The sequence below is a fragment of the Homo sapiens genome, chromosome 15 (genome assembly GCF_000001405.40).
Source record: "Homo sapiens chromosome 15, GRCh38.p14 Primary Assembly".
Classification (NCBI taxonomy): Eukaryota; Metazoa; Chordata; class Mammalia; order Primates; family Hominidae; genus Homo; species Homo sapiens.
Genome location: NC_000015.10, coordinates 77,713,583 through 77,730,974, shown reverse-complemented (window position 1 = coordinate 77,730,974; position 17,392 = coordinate 77,713,583). Strand labels below are relative to the sequence as shown.

The window sequence follows — 17,392 nt, the reverse complement described above, 5'->3', positions numbered from 1 at the left end:
GATTCTGACCCTAATGGTGGCCAGAGGTCCTGGGGGACCCAGCTCTGGTTTTTCTCAGTGGGCAGTCCCAGGACAGCACCTCAAGGTGCTGAAGAGCCAGGACCCTGCCCCAGCTGTCATTTACCAGCCTTTCTGTGGCCAGGCCTGAGGGAGGCATGGGCCACACCTCCCCTCAGTCTAACCTGCCTGCAAGTCCTTCCTGTTCCCATGTTACAGATGTGGAGACTGAGGCTCAAGAGGGCCCCATGCCACTCTGATGCCAAAGTCTGGCTTTTTTCCCCCTGCCTTGCTGCTCCAGAGCGTCTACTGATGCCCTCTGCCTGTGTCTCCCCCAGGTTGATGCTGTGGCCCAGGCCTGATGCCTGCCTGTGCAGCTAGAGGGAAAGAGAGTCTGGACCAGTCTGGATATAGAGGGACAGAGAGGCAGGGGCAGCCCGGCACAGACGGGTACGGGGCAGGCGCTGGACCATCTCAGTCTCAGAAAGTCATGTGCACTGCCCGAGCCCCTGAGGCAAGATGGGTAGCTACTGAGAACCTGGTTTGTGGCATCAGACAGCATAGCGTGAGTCCCAGCTCCAGTACTTACCAGCTGTGTGGTCTTAGACATGTTACTTAAGCTCTCTGGGCCTCAGTTTTCCCATTGGGTAACAGGAAAATGATAGCAGAACCCACCTCACAGGGCTGTTAGGGGATAAATGGCATAGTCAGGTACTGCACTAGGAATGACACTTGGCATGTAGTAGGCACTCAGTAAATTCTAGTCAAAGTTGTCATTGTTATTAGCAGGGCTATAGAACATTCTAGGTTGAAAGCAGAGCCTTCCTCCTATGTGCAACTAGATGCCAGAGCCAAGAGGGACAGGGCTGGGGCCTGCTTCAGCCTTCCCCCTACTCCCCCCACAACGCTCCCAACCCCGGACCTCCAGTCCTGAGTTTTTCATTCCCTGGGGAGCAGGTAAATGTGGGGGACGGAGGGGATTTGCCATTTTGCACATTAACTATTTTTATATTTATACCTACCTTATTCCAATAAGTATTTGTGAGAGCTAAGCATAATTGTGATACCAAGGTAGACAATTCAAGGCAGGGGAAAATAGGATGCAATAGCAAGGAAAAGCTTGGGGAGCATTAGAACACGGATACAGAGGGTCCAATCTTGGGCTGAATAGTTGGTTCTATGATTCCTGGTAGTCAGAATGAAAAGGGAACTATCAGTTATGAGAACTGTGCTGTCCACAGGAGCAAAACAGCATATAGTCCTTGAGAAGGAGTAGGTTTCCTGGAGGAGCGGGAGCCATATCTATTCCAACATCTCTGCAGCCCACGGCAGCTCAGAGTGTGGAGAGTGGAGGTCAGATCTCAGACCTGGGTCAGAGGGCTGGCCAACTCCAGGCAGGGAGATCCTCTTCCTGCACAGAGTGATCTGGGGCCCAGGACAAGGACCACTGGGCCACAGCCCCTGATGCTTGCCCTGCTCTCCCTCCACCAGCTCCCAGCCCTCCCAGCTCTGGATTCTTCTGTCTAGCTGGGTCTGCACAGGGAGGAGCAAGGGTTAAGCTGGGTCTGCACATCTGCAGTCCTGGGCCTGAGACCAGCTCTGCTTGCTCTGCCCTCCTCCTCAAGGACCCTCAGTGTCTCCTCATTGGCTGATAATCAGCTGCGCCTCCCTGCACCTGGCCTCTGATCTCTAATCCTGAGCCTAGCTCAGCCCTTGGGGCTTCTTTGCATCCCCTTCCTTAGCCCAACTCTGCAAGTGCTCTCTGACCTGGATGTGCCTCCATCATCTCCCCACTGGCACTGAGCTGCCCAGAGGCAGAGTGGAGTCTTCCCAGCTTCCCTCCCAGTGCCGGCTGGGCCCTCCTAGTGCCAACTGGGCGCTTGGGTGGGTGTGGGTGCCATAAGCCTTGCAGGGAAGGAGGGTTAAAGAGAATGGACATTCAGTCATCGCAGAGAGTGGGTTTTCCACTTTGCAGAATACCTTGCAAATACTTGGCCAAGTCCAGACCTCAAAACAGCTTTGTGAAATAGGACAGCAACAGCAGACCCAGAGTAATAACAGCTCCTGTTTCCTCAGTGCCCGCTATGTGCCAGGCACTGTGCTAAGCAATTTACAAATAGTTATTTATTTAATCCTCGCTACAGTCCATGAGCTGTTTCTACAGAGAACTGAAGTGCAGACAGAGGATGAGAAACTTGCCCAAAAGTACACAGTCCTTAAGTGGCAGAGTGGGGATTTGAACCTCGGCAGTCTGGACTACATTCCAAGCATTTGTCTTCATGGCTCCTCCCAAGGGCTAGTGAGGGAGAAGTGTGATGCCCACATTGCAGACATGGAAACGGGCCCAGAGACAAGGAGGCCTGCCTGAGGTCACACAGCTAGGAGGGAGTGGATGAGGCGGGGTTCCCATTAGCTTCATCCCATCCCCAAGCTGGAGCTGGAGCTGCCCTCAGACCCCTCCCTGGAGGCTGGGAGGAGAGGGTAGGAGTGAGGCTGTGAGGGCCACAGGAAACCCCCTTCCAGGTGTGGCCCCTGTGTGTGGCACCCACTCCCAGCCCCCAGCCCTCAGCAGCCGAGACGAACGAGGCTTTGGTCTCTGGCCTGGCCGGAACAGGGTGAGCTCTGGGGGTTGGGACTCAGCAGACGCTGGTGCAGCCCACCTGCCTCTAGCTGGTGGGCATGTGGCATGTCCATGATGAGTGGGCTCTTCGCAGGGTGAGCATTAATCACACTGCCAGGCAGTGGGAGAGGCAGCTGCCTAAAATGCCTGCACCTGGGCAGGATCGATCACCGCCAGACCTGGCCGGGCCAGGAGGCTGAGGGCAGCCAGGGGCCATTTCTGCCAGGCAGGCAGTCAGGGAAGAGGCCTGGACTGGGGGAGGAGACACAGCCCTGACCTGGGGCTCTCTGAAGAGGCCTGGTAAGAGGGGACTCCTCCTCTTCTCCCAGGGACGGCCCTTTAGTGTGCTGCAAAGCCATTTATCCTGTTTTAAGATGCATGGTTAAGACTTGCCTCCTCCAAAAGCTGTTGTAGAGTGCCCATGTGACAGCCCTGGACATTTTCTCAAAGGAATGTGCAGTGTCCCCGGGAGCCAGGCAAAAGGGCTTTGAATCCGCATTGCCACCTGCCAGCTGTGTGACCTTGGGGAAATTACTTCACCTCTCTGAGTGCTAGTTTCCTCATCTATAGGATGGGGATGAAGCTCATTTTTTCCTTTTCTTTTTTTTTTTAAATTATGGTAAAAAAAAAACATATAAAATGTATCATCTTAGCCATGTATAAGTGCACAGTAAGGCAGTGTGAACTGTATGCCCCTTACTGTACACCAGATTCCTTTTCATCTTGCATGACCAAAATTCTGTATCCACTGGACAACAACCGCTCCTTTGGCTGTCCCCACAGCCCCTGGCAGCCTTCCTGCTACTTTCTAAGAGTTTGAGCACCTTAGGTACCTCATACTAGGAAACCATATATATGTGTCTTTTTGTAACTGACTTATTTCACATAGCATAATGTCCTCCGTGTTCATCCATACTGTGGCATGTGACAGTGTTTCCTTCCTTTTTTAAGGCTGAAAAATAGTCCATCATCTGTATACACCACATTTTGTTTATCTGTTCATCTGTTGATAGACAGTTGGGTTGTTTCCATCTCTTGGCTATTGTGAATAATGCTACAATGAACATGAGTGTGCACATACCTCTTTTGAGATCCTGTTTTCAATTATGATATGTATATATATGCACACACATACACACACCCAAAAGTGGGATTGCTGGATCGAATGGTAATTCTATTTTTAATTTTTACAATTAATTTAGTGGTTGCCCCATTTTACATTCCTACTAGCAATACACAAAAGTTCTGATTTCTCCATGTCCTTGCAAATACTTATTTTTCTTTCCGTAGTGACCATCCCTATCTGAGGTGAGGTGAGACCTCATTGTGGTTTTGCTTTGCATTTCCCTGATGATTAGCGATGCTGAGCATCTTTCCATCTGCTTTTTGGCCATTTGTATATTTTCTTTTGAGAAATGTCTATTCAAGTCCTTTGCCAATTTTTGATTGGATTATTTTTGTTGTTGAGTTGTAGAAGTTCTTTATGTATTCTAGATATTAACCCCTTTCAGATACATGGGTTGCCAACATTTCCTCCCATTCTGTAGGTTGCTTTTCCACTCTGTTGATTGCTTCCTTTGTTAAGCAGAAGGTTTTAAGTTTGATGTAGTCCCATTTGTCTATTTTTGCTTTTGTTGCCTGTGTTTTTGGTGTCATGTCCAAGAAATCATTGCCAAATCCAATGTCATGAAGCTTCTCCCCTATGTTTTATTTTAGGAGTGGTATAGTTTCAGGTTTTGTGTTTAGGTCTTTCACCCATTTGAAGTTAATTTTTGTATATGGTGTAAGGTAAGAGTCCAGCTTCATTTGTTTTGCTTGTGGAAATCCAGAAACTGAGCAGAGGCCGTAGCAACTGCAAGCTCATTCTTTCTTGTGCAGGGTCTTGATATCTGGGTGCCCTAATGAGGACAGGACTTGTGCTCCTTCTTCCTGATGATGCCTATTGCTCTGGCCCTGAGTCTTTCCTCCTCTGGGTCTTTGGGTCTTGCTGCACCCAGGCCAGGTAGGGCAGGATGGGGTGCCTGTGGGGGAGGCAGCCCACTGCAGGGATGCAGGCTTCTTCCTCACCCATCTCCAGTGCTTTGGGGACCTCTGGGTAGGGTCAGGAACTCCATCAGACACAGGGGCGGAGACACAGGTGCTCAGTTCACTCAGGAGGACTTGTGTAGAGTCAACAGCCCAAAGGGTCAACACTGGACACTGGTCTGGGGGAGAAAAAGGTCTCAGTGGGGCAGCTTAGGGCTGTGGCCTCCTCCTGCCCTAATCTTCCGATGACTCAGATGAAGGTGCTGAGTCCCACATTTGCCAGTGAGAGGCAGTTCTCACCATGGGTGCTCAGCTGGCAGAAGCTCTGAGCTGAAACCTACCAACCAAATGGAACTCTGCAGCCAGGAAAATGAAGTTTTGCACTTGGGCTCAAACACTCAATGGCCAGGGGATGGATACAGGAGTAGTGGTGGGGCGGCCGCTCTATGTACGCTCCCTGGGCGTGCTATGCTGGAGCCATCTCAGACCAGCTCTCTTTCAAGCCCATGGACACATATTCAGGAATTTTCCAAGCCAGTTGTTCAACACAGGAGTCCACCTTCCAGGCTCACATCCTGGCTTTCCCAGGTCTGGCAGATGCAGGCTCTACCTCTCACAGGAGCTGCCTGTCGCTTTCTGTGTGATCCAGGCAGGCCTTTTCCCCACCCTGTGCCTCTGTTTCTCCATCTGCAAAATAACCATTGTACCTTTCTCAGGGAAGTTGTGAGGGTTAAACAAGATCATTGATTATTTATTTATTTATTTATTTGGAGACAGGGTCTTGCTCTGTTGTCCAGGCTAGAGTGCAGTGGTGTGATCATAGCTCACTGCAGCCTCGACCACCAGGGTTCGAGTGATCCCCCTACCTCAGCCTCCCCAGTGGTTGCTACAGTAGTTGGGTGCAACGCCACTGTGCCTAGAGAATTTTATTTTCTTTTTGGTAGAGACAGGGTCTCGATATGTTTCCCAGGCTGTTCTCAAACTCCTGGGCTTGAGTGATCCTCCTGCCTTGGCCTCCTGAAGTGTTGGGATTATAGGCATGAGCCACCTCGCCCAGCCAAGGTGATGGATTTAAATTCCTCTGTGGAGAATAAGTACCGATGGGAAAACTGAAACCCCCAACCCCCATGGCTGAATTCCCCGTTCAGGGCTTTCTGTCCTTCTCAGGTCCTGGGGCAGAAAGTCAGCAGAGCCTGTGTAGACCTGCCTCTGGACTGGGCACACCCAAACCAGCTTGGACACCCAGAAGGGAGCCCCACCATCAGGAAAGGGTGGGTATGGGCGTGAGGTCCTTCTGCTCTGATCCTTCAGCATGGCTAGTGTGACCAGCACTGGGAGGCCTGGGAGGAGGCCAGGCCTTCATCTCAGGCTCTCCTGGGGTGGGGCGGTGGCCGGGTCCACACACCGTCTGGGAAGCAGTTGCTGATACTTGCCCTGGGCTGGGTGTGGGTGATTTGGCTGTGGGCTTTTTCTTGAAGGTCTGCCAAGGTAGACTGTGGGGGAGGGCATGGTTCAGCCCCTGAACATGAGGCTAGAGCCTGGCCCAGTGGTGGGCTGTGGCCAAGGGAGGTAGTAGGGAGACTCGGGGGTGCTTACTGCCCTGGGTGCTCGTGGCCCTCTCCCTAGTTATGGAAGCCCACATTAGGCACTTTATGTGCCTCCCCCTCATCCATTCCTCACCATAGCCCATGAAGTGGGTGCTGACCTTATTATCTCCACTTCACAGATGAGGAAACTGAGCCCGGAGAGGCGAGGTTGAAACTAGAAAGTGCCTCTGCCACTGCAGGCTTGCTGGTGACCTTGGCCAGTGCCAGCACAGTTTCCTCATCTCAACAACGGGGACACAGACGGGCGCAGCTGGGGGAATGTGTTCGACATTAGTTGCGTCTTCTGAAGCGGTAAAGGGCCCACAGACCTGATAAGTCCCCGCGTTTGCAGATCAGCAAACCGAGGCTGAGAGAGTCATAGCCAAAATCATCTCCTGGCCTGGCTCACGCCACCCTCCCTGCCCAATTCACACCCCTAAGGTTGCTCTGGACCCCTCAAAAGCCCCTGATGCTGAGTCGGTGCAGACAGGCTTCAGTCATGTGTGCATCTGTATGTGTGCATGTGTGGGCACAGGTATGTGCTGGGATGGGGGTACCTGGAGGAAGCGGGCAGAGCTGAGCAGACCCTGGGGCCATTGGATAAGAGGAAGGGGCCCCCCTCCCCACTCCCCGCTCCTGCTCCGGGTGCAAGGAGTGGGAGAAGCCCCGGGTGACTGGGTTTGTGCCCACTATATATAGCCCAGCTCAGACACGCACGCCCGGCTATTTCTGTGTTCCTCCTCCTACTGAGGCAGGGGGAGGGGAGAGAAAGTAGTCCATCTAAAAATATAACCTGGGGAAAAATATCACAACGCCTGAGCTGAGCCTGAGAGATCTGTCTCTTTCTCTCGCCTCCCGCCCCCGCGCCCCGACTTACCTCACAGCCGCCTCGGCTCCGTTTGGAACTGTTGCCCCCTCCCCCACCTGTGCCACTTTCCCCTGATGCCCCCCAGCTGGGGCTGGGGTCGTTCCATCCCCATGTCACAGGTGAAGAAACTGAGGCCTGGGGAGGGCCTGCTTGGGTGTGGCACTTTGTGCTGCTCATCCCTCCAGGATGCCCAGGCCTGGGGGCAGTCCCTCCCTGCCCTGCTGAGCCTGGACTAGGGTGGGGCCCGGGTCCAGGACTTGGCTGTGCACTCACTTGTTTTCAATCTCCCTGAGCCTCAGTTTCCCCAACTAAAAGGGGACAGTGATACCAGTTGCCTCGTAGGTGGTGCTAAGGGTTGATGGAGAGGCGCAGGTAAAGCCTGGGACACGTGCCGGGCACGTCAGAAGCACGCAGAGACGTCAGCCTCGGTTGTCGTCATTGTTATTATTTTAATTATCCACCGCCTTCATCCTGGCCACAGAAATGACTCTTCCTCTAGGAGCTTCTTGAGGGCAGGATGACTCTTAGCAGGTCTGCATCATGGTGCTCAGCAGGAGGCCTGCCTGCTTACAGCAGCATTCAATAGATGACACGGTTGCATTTAGATTCGCAGAGGAAGGCAAGGGGCTCTAAGGCTGATGAAACCCCTGCCTCAGGCCGCGCTCACTGCTCTGTGGCTGTCTTGATCCTCACACTTACTCCCCTCAGTGCCTGTCTGGGGGTGGGGGCGGGGTGGGATGGAAGGTGAGGATGGGATGTTGTTACCATCCCCATTTTAACGACAGACAGAAAACTAGAGCTCAGAGAGGGAAAGCGATGGGCCCTGGGTCACACAGCTGGGACGGAGCCTGCAAGTGTGCTGGTCCTGAGGGCCCCCGACCTGTCTGTCTCCACTCTGTGAACTGCAGGAGCCTCCAGGGGCGCTGTGAAGGCCCAGCCCCGGAGCGCCCTGCTGGTGCTTTCCACAGCCCTGCTGCTGCCCTCCCCGGGTTACTGCGTGAGGGGCTGGAGAGTGCACCCCTGGGTTACTGAGCATCCATCGGGTGCCCTTGTGATGGTTCTCAAATTCCATGCTCTGTCAACCAGCACCAACTTATGACCAGCCCTCTTTCCTCTACACCCACGCACTCTCCACCACCACCAGGTTATTTTGATGTTGTATAATTTTTTCCATAAATATTTCAGCGCATATCTCTAAAAGATGAGGACCCTTTAAAAGACAGAACCGTGATACCATTACCACACCTTAAAAATTAAATGTTACCTGGCACAGTATCCACTTCCTGCATCACTCTTAAAAATTGCCTTGAGGTAGGAGTTAGCATCGCCATTTTATAGATGAGGAAACTTGAGGCCCAGAGAGGATTAGTCACTGGCCTGAGTTCACATAGCTTGTGAGTGGCCAAGTGGGGATTTGAACCTGGGCCACTTGACTCTAAAGCCAGTGCTCATTCCTCTTTCCTCTGCCAGGCAGGGCCCCAGCTTGCCTCCTGCCATCTCCAGAGGGTTGCCACGCCCTGTGGCCCTAGGGCAAGGAGCTCCTGGCATATTTTTGTTGGGGGACAGTCTAGTTCCTGGGCCTCCTGATAAACCCAGAGTCCAGCCCAGAGGCTCAGCCAGGTTATGTACTCAGAGACGGGCTGCGAGTGAGCTGTCTTCCCTGGCCGGTGTGCTGAGCTTTACCGGGCCATTTAAAAGCTGACAACACATTTTGCAGGCTCCTATTTAAGATATACTAAAAAATAAGCACCTTTTCAGGGAGGAAACTGCAGCATGTCGGGGTGAAATATGTCCGTGGTGTCACCTACACACATGTCACCCTGCAGGTGCAGAGAGGGGTGGGAGCATCAAGCACCCAGCCTCACCCCCCACCAGGCAGCCTCGGAAGGTGAGCAGGTACTTGATGAGCAAGTGGATTTGTCAGCATTTCTGGCTCTGCAGCGGGAAGAGGGAGGTCACGCTTTGGGGGGTCATGTTAGAGGTTGGGGTGGATAGGGGCATAATTAGGGGGCAGGGGAAGTTACCTGCTCCAGGCTGCCCATTTCAGATGGAGAAGCTGAGGCCCGGGGTGGGAGGATGAAGTTGCGAGGTCATACATCCTGAGAGCTGCCCCAAGCCTGGTCCCCAAGCCCAAGGCCAACGCTATGCAGGAGGTGCTCCTGTCTTCCTCTGCCCCTTCTCATCCCACCTCAAAACAGACTTTCTCAGACTTAGGGCAGGCCTGGACCAGGAGCCAAGCACTGTGGTAGGCACTGGGGATACAATAGTAAACAAATAAAAAACACAGTCAATCAAACCGGGTTCTTCATGGAGCTTCTGTAGTTGAATGGAGGTGACAAATAAAGAATGCCAACAATGTCGTGAAGCTGCGGTGTATCTACCACCAAGGGGCAGATGTGGGGTGCTGTCAGGGTATTTAAGAGGAGACCCACCAGGTCGGGGAGGCAGGGAAGGGCTTTGGGAGGAGGTGACACCAGGGCTGAGCACTGCAGGATGAATGTGTGAGCCGAGAGGGTGGGAGGCAGTGGCTGGGGGAAGAGGGGCAGCAGGCAAAGGGAAGAGCACATACCAAGGCCCTGTGGCAGAGGCTCCAGGGGATTCTGAAAGGCCAGTGTGGCTAGAGTGGAGTGAGCTTGGGGAGGTATGGCTGGAGGGGGTTAGGGCCGGGTCTCACGAGGGCCATGAAGCGGGGTGACTGGGGCGGGAGGGTTAGACACTTGGATTTGTGGTATGGACAGATTTCTGGCTGTCACAGGAGGAAACGACCTTGGCTTTGAGTCAGGAGTGGACTGGGGAGTGGGTAGGGGTGAATGTGAGCATTGAGGCAGGAGGGGCGGTGGCTCAGACCATGGTATTGGTCAGGCTGCCCTCTGGCTCTCTGTTGTTCCCCTGTATCCTCTCCAGGCCTGCTGACCCAGGAGAGTCCCGGAAGGTGTCTGGGAGGGACAGTCCTTCAGCCGTGGGTGGAGGGATGAGGGAGGCGGGGAGGCTTTGCTGAGCCAGCTGTGGAGGGAGTCATGGTGCTGGGCCCCAGGCCTGGGGCCTTCCCTGTCTGGAAGGCAGCTGAAGAGGCAGCTGGGGTGTGAGCACAGGAGCACGCGGACGTTGTCACGTCTGCCTGGTCTCCACTCTGAGATCTAACCCAAGGAGGAGCGGGTGCCCGAGAGGGGAAGGGAGCTCAAGAAAAAAAAAAATAGCTTGCTTGACTTAATTATGACTGATTGTGACAGCTTACATCTTTAGTCTGAAAAGTATCTATGGGGTAAGGACTGCTTTTCTCAATCGGGATAATTATGTTAATTAAAATGCTTTCTTTACAGCAGTTCTGATTAATAAAAACAGTTCCACTGCTCTCTTTAAACACTCTAACCTTCTGTTGCATGGGGAAGGAGGCCCTTTCTCAACAATTTATGGTTCTTCATGCAGATTCCAAAAGGCGACCTGCTGCCGGGTGGCCTGGTGGCAGGCACTGCGCTCACACACGTGGGGGCGGATGCAGGCAGAGGGGCAGGTGCGTGGACCTGGCGGGCGGCGGGACTGGCCATTGGGGCGGGACAGGCCGGGGCACTGCTTGGCAGAGTCGGCTGCAGAATAAAAACGCCGTTTACTCCTCTAATTGCTGTTTATTTCCTCTGGACAGCATGGAGATAATTAACGAGCTCCCAATTAAGAAAAATTACATGTGGGGGACTGAGGTGTCAGGGCCAGGATCGGTATTGGAGTGGAGGGGTGGGGTGGGGCTGGTGGTAGGAGCAGGGGTCCTTGGTGAAGCCAAGGGGGTGGTGGTGTGTGTGCTAGAAGAGGTGGATGCAAGTCAGCAGGAGGGGTGGTGAGGCAGGGGCTTCACTGCCAGGGAGACTGAGTGGAAGGGAACAAGAGCTTTGAGCATAGCTTCACTGTCCCCAGCCTCAGTTCCTCTCTTTGCCTAAGTTAGAGGTCACAAGTGGTGGCTCAGAGGCAGAATCTGTCTCATAGTTGTGTGTGTGTGTGTATGTGTGTGTATGCATGCACATGTGTATAAGTGCCAGTCTGTGTGTGTGTGAGTACATATGTGTGTATGAAAGCGTGTGAGTGTGCGTGTGTGTGTGAATGTGAGTTTGTGTATGTGTGAGTGTGTGAATGTGAGTGTGTGAATGAGATTGTATATATGTGCGTGAATGTGAGTACACATATGTATGAGAGCATGTGTGTGTGTATGTGTTCTAGCCACAGAGTGTGGCAAAAACCTCAGCCCACAGATTGTTGGAAGATTGAGAGGTTTCTTATCAAAATCTGGCTTCTGGAGTCTCTTGAAAAGTCAGAGGCCCAGCAAGCATATGCCGGCAGGAGCCGAGTGCTGCGTGGTGGCTGCCCCCGTGTGTCTCCCGTGACCTCCCCGTCCTCATGTCCATGCCAGCCTGACCTGGGAGGCGTTTGGGTTTCGTGGCACTGTGTGGCTCTGATCTGCCTGTGAGGGTGGAGGCGGGGGATGATCTTACATGGAGGAGGGGCACTCAGTTGACCACCATCCCTTCTCCTAAAGGGACCGAATGGAGATGGGGTCCCAGAAGCCCCGAGTAGAAGTGTCTTGGTGCTGGTGCTGGCAGGAGACTTTGTGGGGTTCCTCACTCCACCACCCAGCCACCCCAGGCCTGGGGAGCCGCTCAGTCCTGTCACTGCCCAGAGGGGCTCAGGCAAACCTGGCCTCACTCTCAAAGAGGCAGTGAGGAGGACGTCCCAGGAGGTGCCCCTGGGAGGGAGAGTTGACTGCCTGCCCAGTCAACTGGCCCCCTCCCGGAGGCCCCAGTTCTCTCTGGACCCTCCGCCCTGCCTGGACAAGCTCCTCATTTATGGAGGACTTTGGCTGCTGTGCCACTCAGGCAGGTCCACACTCTGCCCCAGACACAGACTGAGGCCTTGTCGGTTTCCCCAGTTCCCTCCACCCCAGCCCAGCCCCAGCCTCTCTTGCTGCTAGAAATGAGGAAATAAGGTTAGGAGCTTCTTCTCGCCCTACCACCTGGTTGAGGAAGATGCTGTGGCAGTCAGGGAGGCCCCGGTAGCCCACAGAGTACATGGACCAAGAGGGTCGGGGGCTCGGGCCCGTGTCACACAGCTGGGAACCAGGGGCTGGGGCAGGCACAGAGCCCAGGCATCCTGACCCCAGGGGGTTATGATGGTGACCAAGGCCACGCAGTTGTGACTAAGGGGTCTATACTGCCAGAGAAAGTGATGCTAATGGGTCCCTAGACCCCTGCCTCTTTCCCATGAGAAGACTGCAGGCTGGCTCCCAGCGTGCATCTCTGGGGTCCGATATTGGGGTCTAGAGGCTTGCCTGTGGACGTGTGTGTGGACATGTGCCATGCAAATATGCGTGGATGTGTGAGTCTGTACATGTGTAGGCACGCAATACATACATGTGTGTGGTCCTGTATACACATACACACATGGGCGTGTGTGAGCTCGTCCAGGTGTGCATGTTGACACGTGTGTGTATACATGTGGGCGCTGTGTGCATATCACATGCACAGCCATGCGTGGGCATGCTCCTCTGTATACATGGGATGGGCGTGGGTATGCATGAGCGTGTGCATTCATACATGTGGCTGTTAAACCCGCGTGTCTGGGGTGCTGCACTTCTCCAGCTCTGTCCCTGCATGTTCACACATACGTGTCTTCCTGTGTAGGTCTGCGTGTGAAGCTGAGGGCCACGGCAAGACCCCTCCGTGGGCCCTGGAAGAAGGTGGCTCCCTAGGTGGGTGGTAGCGAGTCAGTGATGTGAGCTCAGGCCTGGGCTGGGAGCCCTGCTCCCATGGGGGATGGCGCTGTCTCTGTAGCTGCTCATGAGCATCCTCTTGGGCACCAGCTTCTGGGCAGGCCTCGGCCCTGCTCCCAGCTCCCTGGGCCTCCAGCCCTGGGAAAGTTCTGCCTGTGCGGAGGGAGCAGAGGCTGTATCACCTGCTTCATGACTCCACTGCCCAGATGAGCTGATGATGGAGCAGGGGCCTTCCTTCTCCACTCGGGCCCCCTTGGGCCCCTCTGAGGTCCAGCCTGGCTGGGCTGGGCCTTTCCCCACCATAGTGGAGCCAGACTGTAGGTATCCAATGGGGTCTGAGCCGTGCTGAGCAGGGCCTCCGCTGCACCCTGTCTGCTGAGGCTCCCTCCTGTGCAGAACAGCCCGGGCCTGGGCTTGGTGGGGGCCGCCCTGGCCCAGGCTCCCGAGGCTGTCTTCCTTCTTAGTGCCAGCTAAGGTAGAAGCGGGCTGAGCCCTCCCTGCCTGTCTGCCTCTCCTTGCCATTCCTCCCCAACTATCGGGGCTGAGCTTCTGACCCTCTGCCAAGAGGGAAACGTGCTTTCACAGGCAGGACAGTTCTGATCCTCTCACACGTGGTGTGCCAGTGGAGGGCTTTTGGGCACTGTGAGCAGGGCTGGGGTGCCAGTTCTGGGCAGGAACACCCCCCTCGCCTTGGTAGACACACTGGCTCCTACATGCATGTGGCGGCCCCACAGGCTGGCTGGCACCTGGGCCTGCCACCCCCACCTCTGCCCGCCTGGGGGCTGCCCCCCCTCACCTCCACTGTATTTACGTGTCTATTTTATGATTTCAATTTTTAATGCCTCTGCTCTTTGAAGACGCTTAATGCTTTCGAGTGGAACATTTCCTTCCAGGACCTGAGCGCAGATTGAGGACAGAGCAATAAATCAACTAATAACTGGAACCTCATTTTCTGCTCCACGGCAGAGAGTTAACCCCCGCCTTGCTGCACTCCTCTGGGTGGCAGCTGTGGGCAAGGGGCGCTGGGGAGCAGAGTGCTGAGCTTGAGCACCCCGCGGCTCAGGCTTCCCCTCCTCCTCATCTCCTCTCCTCCTGGGTCTCTCTCCTCTCTCCTGTTTCCCTTCTTTCTCTTATTGTTTTCTCTTCTCTTTTTATCTACGTCCTGCTAAATGCAAGTGAGAATAAGGGAAATGGCTGGAATCCGAGATTCTGGAGGTGACCCTGGGAAGGCATGGGGAAGCATTTGTTGGGAACTCCCTGGGCCCTGACTTGCTGTGTGAGCTGAGGGGAGTGTCCAACCCTCTCTGAGCCTCGAAGTTGCCACCATTACAAAGGGATCTTATCACATGGGGGGACTGAGGTTTGAAATGCTGACATCTAGGACAGACTTGGTAGTGGAGGTGGACAGTACCTGAGTCTCCACCATTCGCTCCCTGCCCATCTTGGCTTGGGAGGAGGAGAGTTGGGAGACAGAGACACTCAGGCGATGAACTGGTAGTAGATGGCTCTTCACTCATGTTGTGTATGCCTGAGTCTGTGTTACTAATGCTGCATAGACGTGTGTGTGTATGAGTGCGTGTGTGTGTGTATTCCTGCACGTGTCTTGGACTCCGGATCACAGTGTACATAGCCATACACCTAGGATGACTCTTGACTCCCTGCAGGACTAGTGAGAGGGCCCGGCTGGGTGTGCTGGTGCACACCTGTAGTCCTAGCTACTTGCGAGGCTTGGATGGGAGGATTGATTGAGCCCAGGAGGTGGAGGTTGCAGTGAGCTGTGATCACACCACTGCACTCCAGCCTGGGTGACAGAGTGAGACCCTGTCTCAAAAAAAAAAAAAAAAAAGAAGAAGAAGAAGAAAGAAAATAGCCCAAAGTGGGGAGCAGTGTCTGTATTGAGAAGCTGAGAGGAATGGAGACACTGGGGCCACACTGCCTGGCTACAAATCTGGCTTTGCCATTTATTGCTGTGAGACTTTGGAGAAGTCACTGAAGTTTATAGAACTTCCCCCTTCTATAAAATAGAGATAAGAAGAGTGCCTCCCTCATAACTTGTTGTGCAGGTTGAATGAGCTGGTCGCCTGTTAAGTGGCTGGCACATAGTAAATGCATGTTAAGTATTTGTCGTCATTATTGCAGGACACATCCACTCACACACAGTATGTTTCCCTCCCTCAGCTGACCGTGAGACACCAGAGCCGTACCAGCCTCAAACACCTGATGTGCACAGCGTGCCAGTGGAGAGGAGCCCAGCCCCCTTCAGAGCAGCCAGGGACACCTTCCTGGAGGAAGTGGTCCCAGCACTTGTCCTGAGATGAATGGAGAGGAGGGTGGCCCTGGGCACCTGTTGGGGACAGGCAGAAAGGATATTTGGAGAATACTAAGGCCAAGGTGGAGGTATTTATGAGGAGGAAGTAGGAAATGATACAGGCCCCAGCGCAGGAGGGGCTGGGCTAGTGTTTAGTAGGCACCTACTGCATGCAGACATCTTGTTCCCATTATTTCTTTGTGGAAACTGCATCTGAGTACTGTTATGTGACTTGCCCGGGGTTACCCAAGCTGTCAGTGGTACAGGTGGGATTTGAATTTGTGTCTGTTTGGCTCTGGAACTCCACTCTTCTTGTGGCCCAAGTCCCAGCATCACAGGGCTGGAGACTCTGTTCCTAAAATGCCCTGCTCTGCTTGGACACTGCTGGTGATAGGGAGCTCACTACCTCTCAGGACAGTTAATGACATTTCATGTAATTCCACTCATTCCAACAGTGATATTCAGGCTGGGCCCAAATCTGTTTGTCACAACTGACTGACTCCTCAGACCCCTCCTAGGCCCCCAAGCCACGCCCTGCTCAGCCCTGAGGCTGCCTGCTGGGCCCACGCTGATAGGGCTGCCCCATTTCCTCCTAGCGCCCCATGGATGTGTGAAAGGGGTGGAGAGTACCCCATATGGGGTACGTGCAGCATGCCAGCCATGAAGTGTCGCATTGCCACATCCCACGTGTGACCACAGTCACCTTGCAGAGTAGGCTGGCCAAGCTCAGGTGGGCTCAGACCCAAGAGCTCAGTGTTCCAGACAACCAGGCCCACCATTGGCATCCAGGACCACTGGGAATAGCACTCAGCCCTGGAGTATTTGGTTTCCAGAGTATTTAAACAGATGACTCGACTAGGTGATAATTTTAGCACGTTATGGCTAATGTCTTCTTGGGACCATAAAGCAGCAAACTTTTACCACTGGAAGCAGCTCCCAGCCAAGACGTGGGGAAATGATCATGTCATCGAGTCATCTGGGTATCAGTTATTGTTTGGGGGAAAGTGGAGTGTGTGGGCGCGTAGAGACGTGCGCACCCTCCCCCGTGCCCAGGCAAGCCAGGCTTATCGCGGGAGGAAGAGAGGATGCTGCTGAGAGGGAGGAGAGCAGGGAGAGCTCACCCATTCACTCCACAGACATTACTGAGTGCCTGCCACGCTCCAGGCACTGGCTGTGCACGCTTCTCATGCCATTGGGGCAAACAGAGAATGCTAATGGTGCAGTGATGGGATGAATAGGGACAGCTGGTAAGACTGGGCAACGGGGCCCTCAGGTGAGGGAGCACCTGTGGGAGGACCGTGAGGGGGATGAGGAGGCTATGTGGCAAAGGGCAGTGGCAGGGGGAGAGAGGGCCAAATGAGGGCATTTGCATGGCACTCTGGGGCTGTGGGATATTTTCCAAGGGGCAGGGGGCCGTGAATGAGCTTGGGTTAAGCAAGGGTGGTGACAATCTGATTTAAGTTTTAAAAAAGATCTCTCCAGCTGCTGCAGGAAGGGCCAAGTAGGGAAAGAGAGTGAGGCAGACATGATGGAGGCCTAGGTCAAAATGGTAACCATGGTGATGGGGGTGGCAGACCCCATCATGGCAGCAGAACTGGGGACAGGGAGAAGGTCATGGAGAAGGCAAGAAGGATCCTCAATTCCTGGCTTGAGCCGCTGCGGTCATCCTCTGAGATGTGGAGGTGCAGTGGAGGATCAGGAGTTCGTTTTTGACCACCTCCTTCTGCAGAGGTGTCCTATTGACAGTTGTGGTCACAAGCCTGGAGCTCAGGGGAGAGGTCTTTATAGGGGATGGGGACGTGGGAACCAGCAGCTGTAGATGGTGTTTAAAGACCTGGGCAAAGCCAAGGACCACCAGGAAGCGACGTGGGTGGTGGAGAGAGGACCAAGTCCTGGACGCTGGGATCACCACCATGTAGAGTTGAGGGAGGAGAAGGAACCTTCACAGGAGGCTGAGAAGGCACACCTAGGGGGTGCGAGGAAAGCCAAAAGGATGTGGAATCCCAGAAGCCAGGAGAGGGTTCCTAAAGGAAGGGCAAACTCAGTCAGCTGCGGGCATGATGACGCGTATACCTTTACCCAGCCTCGCATAACTCCAGGACAATATCAGAGACAGGTCACTGACGTTGGCACAGTCCACAAACCTGATTCTATTTCACCAGTTATACATACACTCGTGTGTGTGTGCGCGTGTGTGTATGTAAGTGTTTATATATAGTCCTGTGTGTGTATCCAG

General features: G+C 54.1%; 1 protein-coding gene across 10 annotated transcripts in view, besides 1 other annotated feature; it reads left to right on the top strand.

Annotated features, from left to right (window-relative positions):
* The window catches only part of LINGO1 (leucine rich repeat and Ig domain containing 1), a 207,874-nt gene that overhangs the window by 89,926 nt on the left and 100,556 nt on the right, over nt 1-17,392 (top strand). Inside the window, exon 4 of one of the 10 annotated variants that reach the window (XM_017022682.2) lies at nt 15,027-15,245. The exons of 8 other annotated variants lie outside the window; for them this stretch is intronic. The gene's annotated coding sequence lies outside the window, so the exon portion shown is untranslated. Of the gene's footprint in view, nt 1-10,223; nt 10,359-15,026; nt 15,246-17,392 lie in introns of those variants that run through there. One more of the 10 variants, NM_001301197.2, reaches the window with a different exon arrangement.
* Nucleotides 16,859-17,359: an enhancer, noted in NCBI's record as "H3K27ac hESC enhancer chr15:78005958-78006458 (GRCh37/hg19 assembly coordinates)". NCBI's record gives its function as "activates a minimal SCP1, AML or CMV promoter by ChIP-STARR-seq in primed H9 embryonic stem cells {active_cell/tissue: H9 hESC(primed)}" and the evidence as "EXISTENCE:reporter gene assay evidence [ECO:0000049][PMID:30033119]".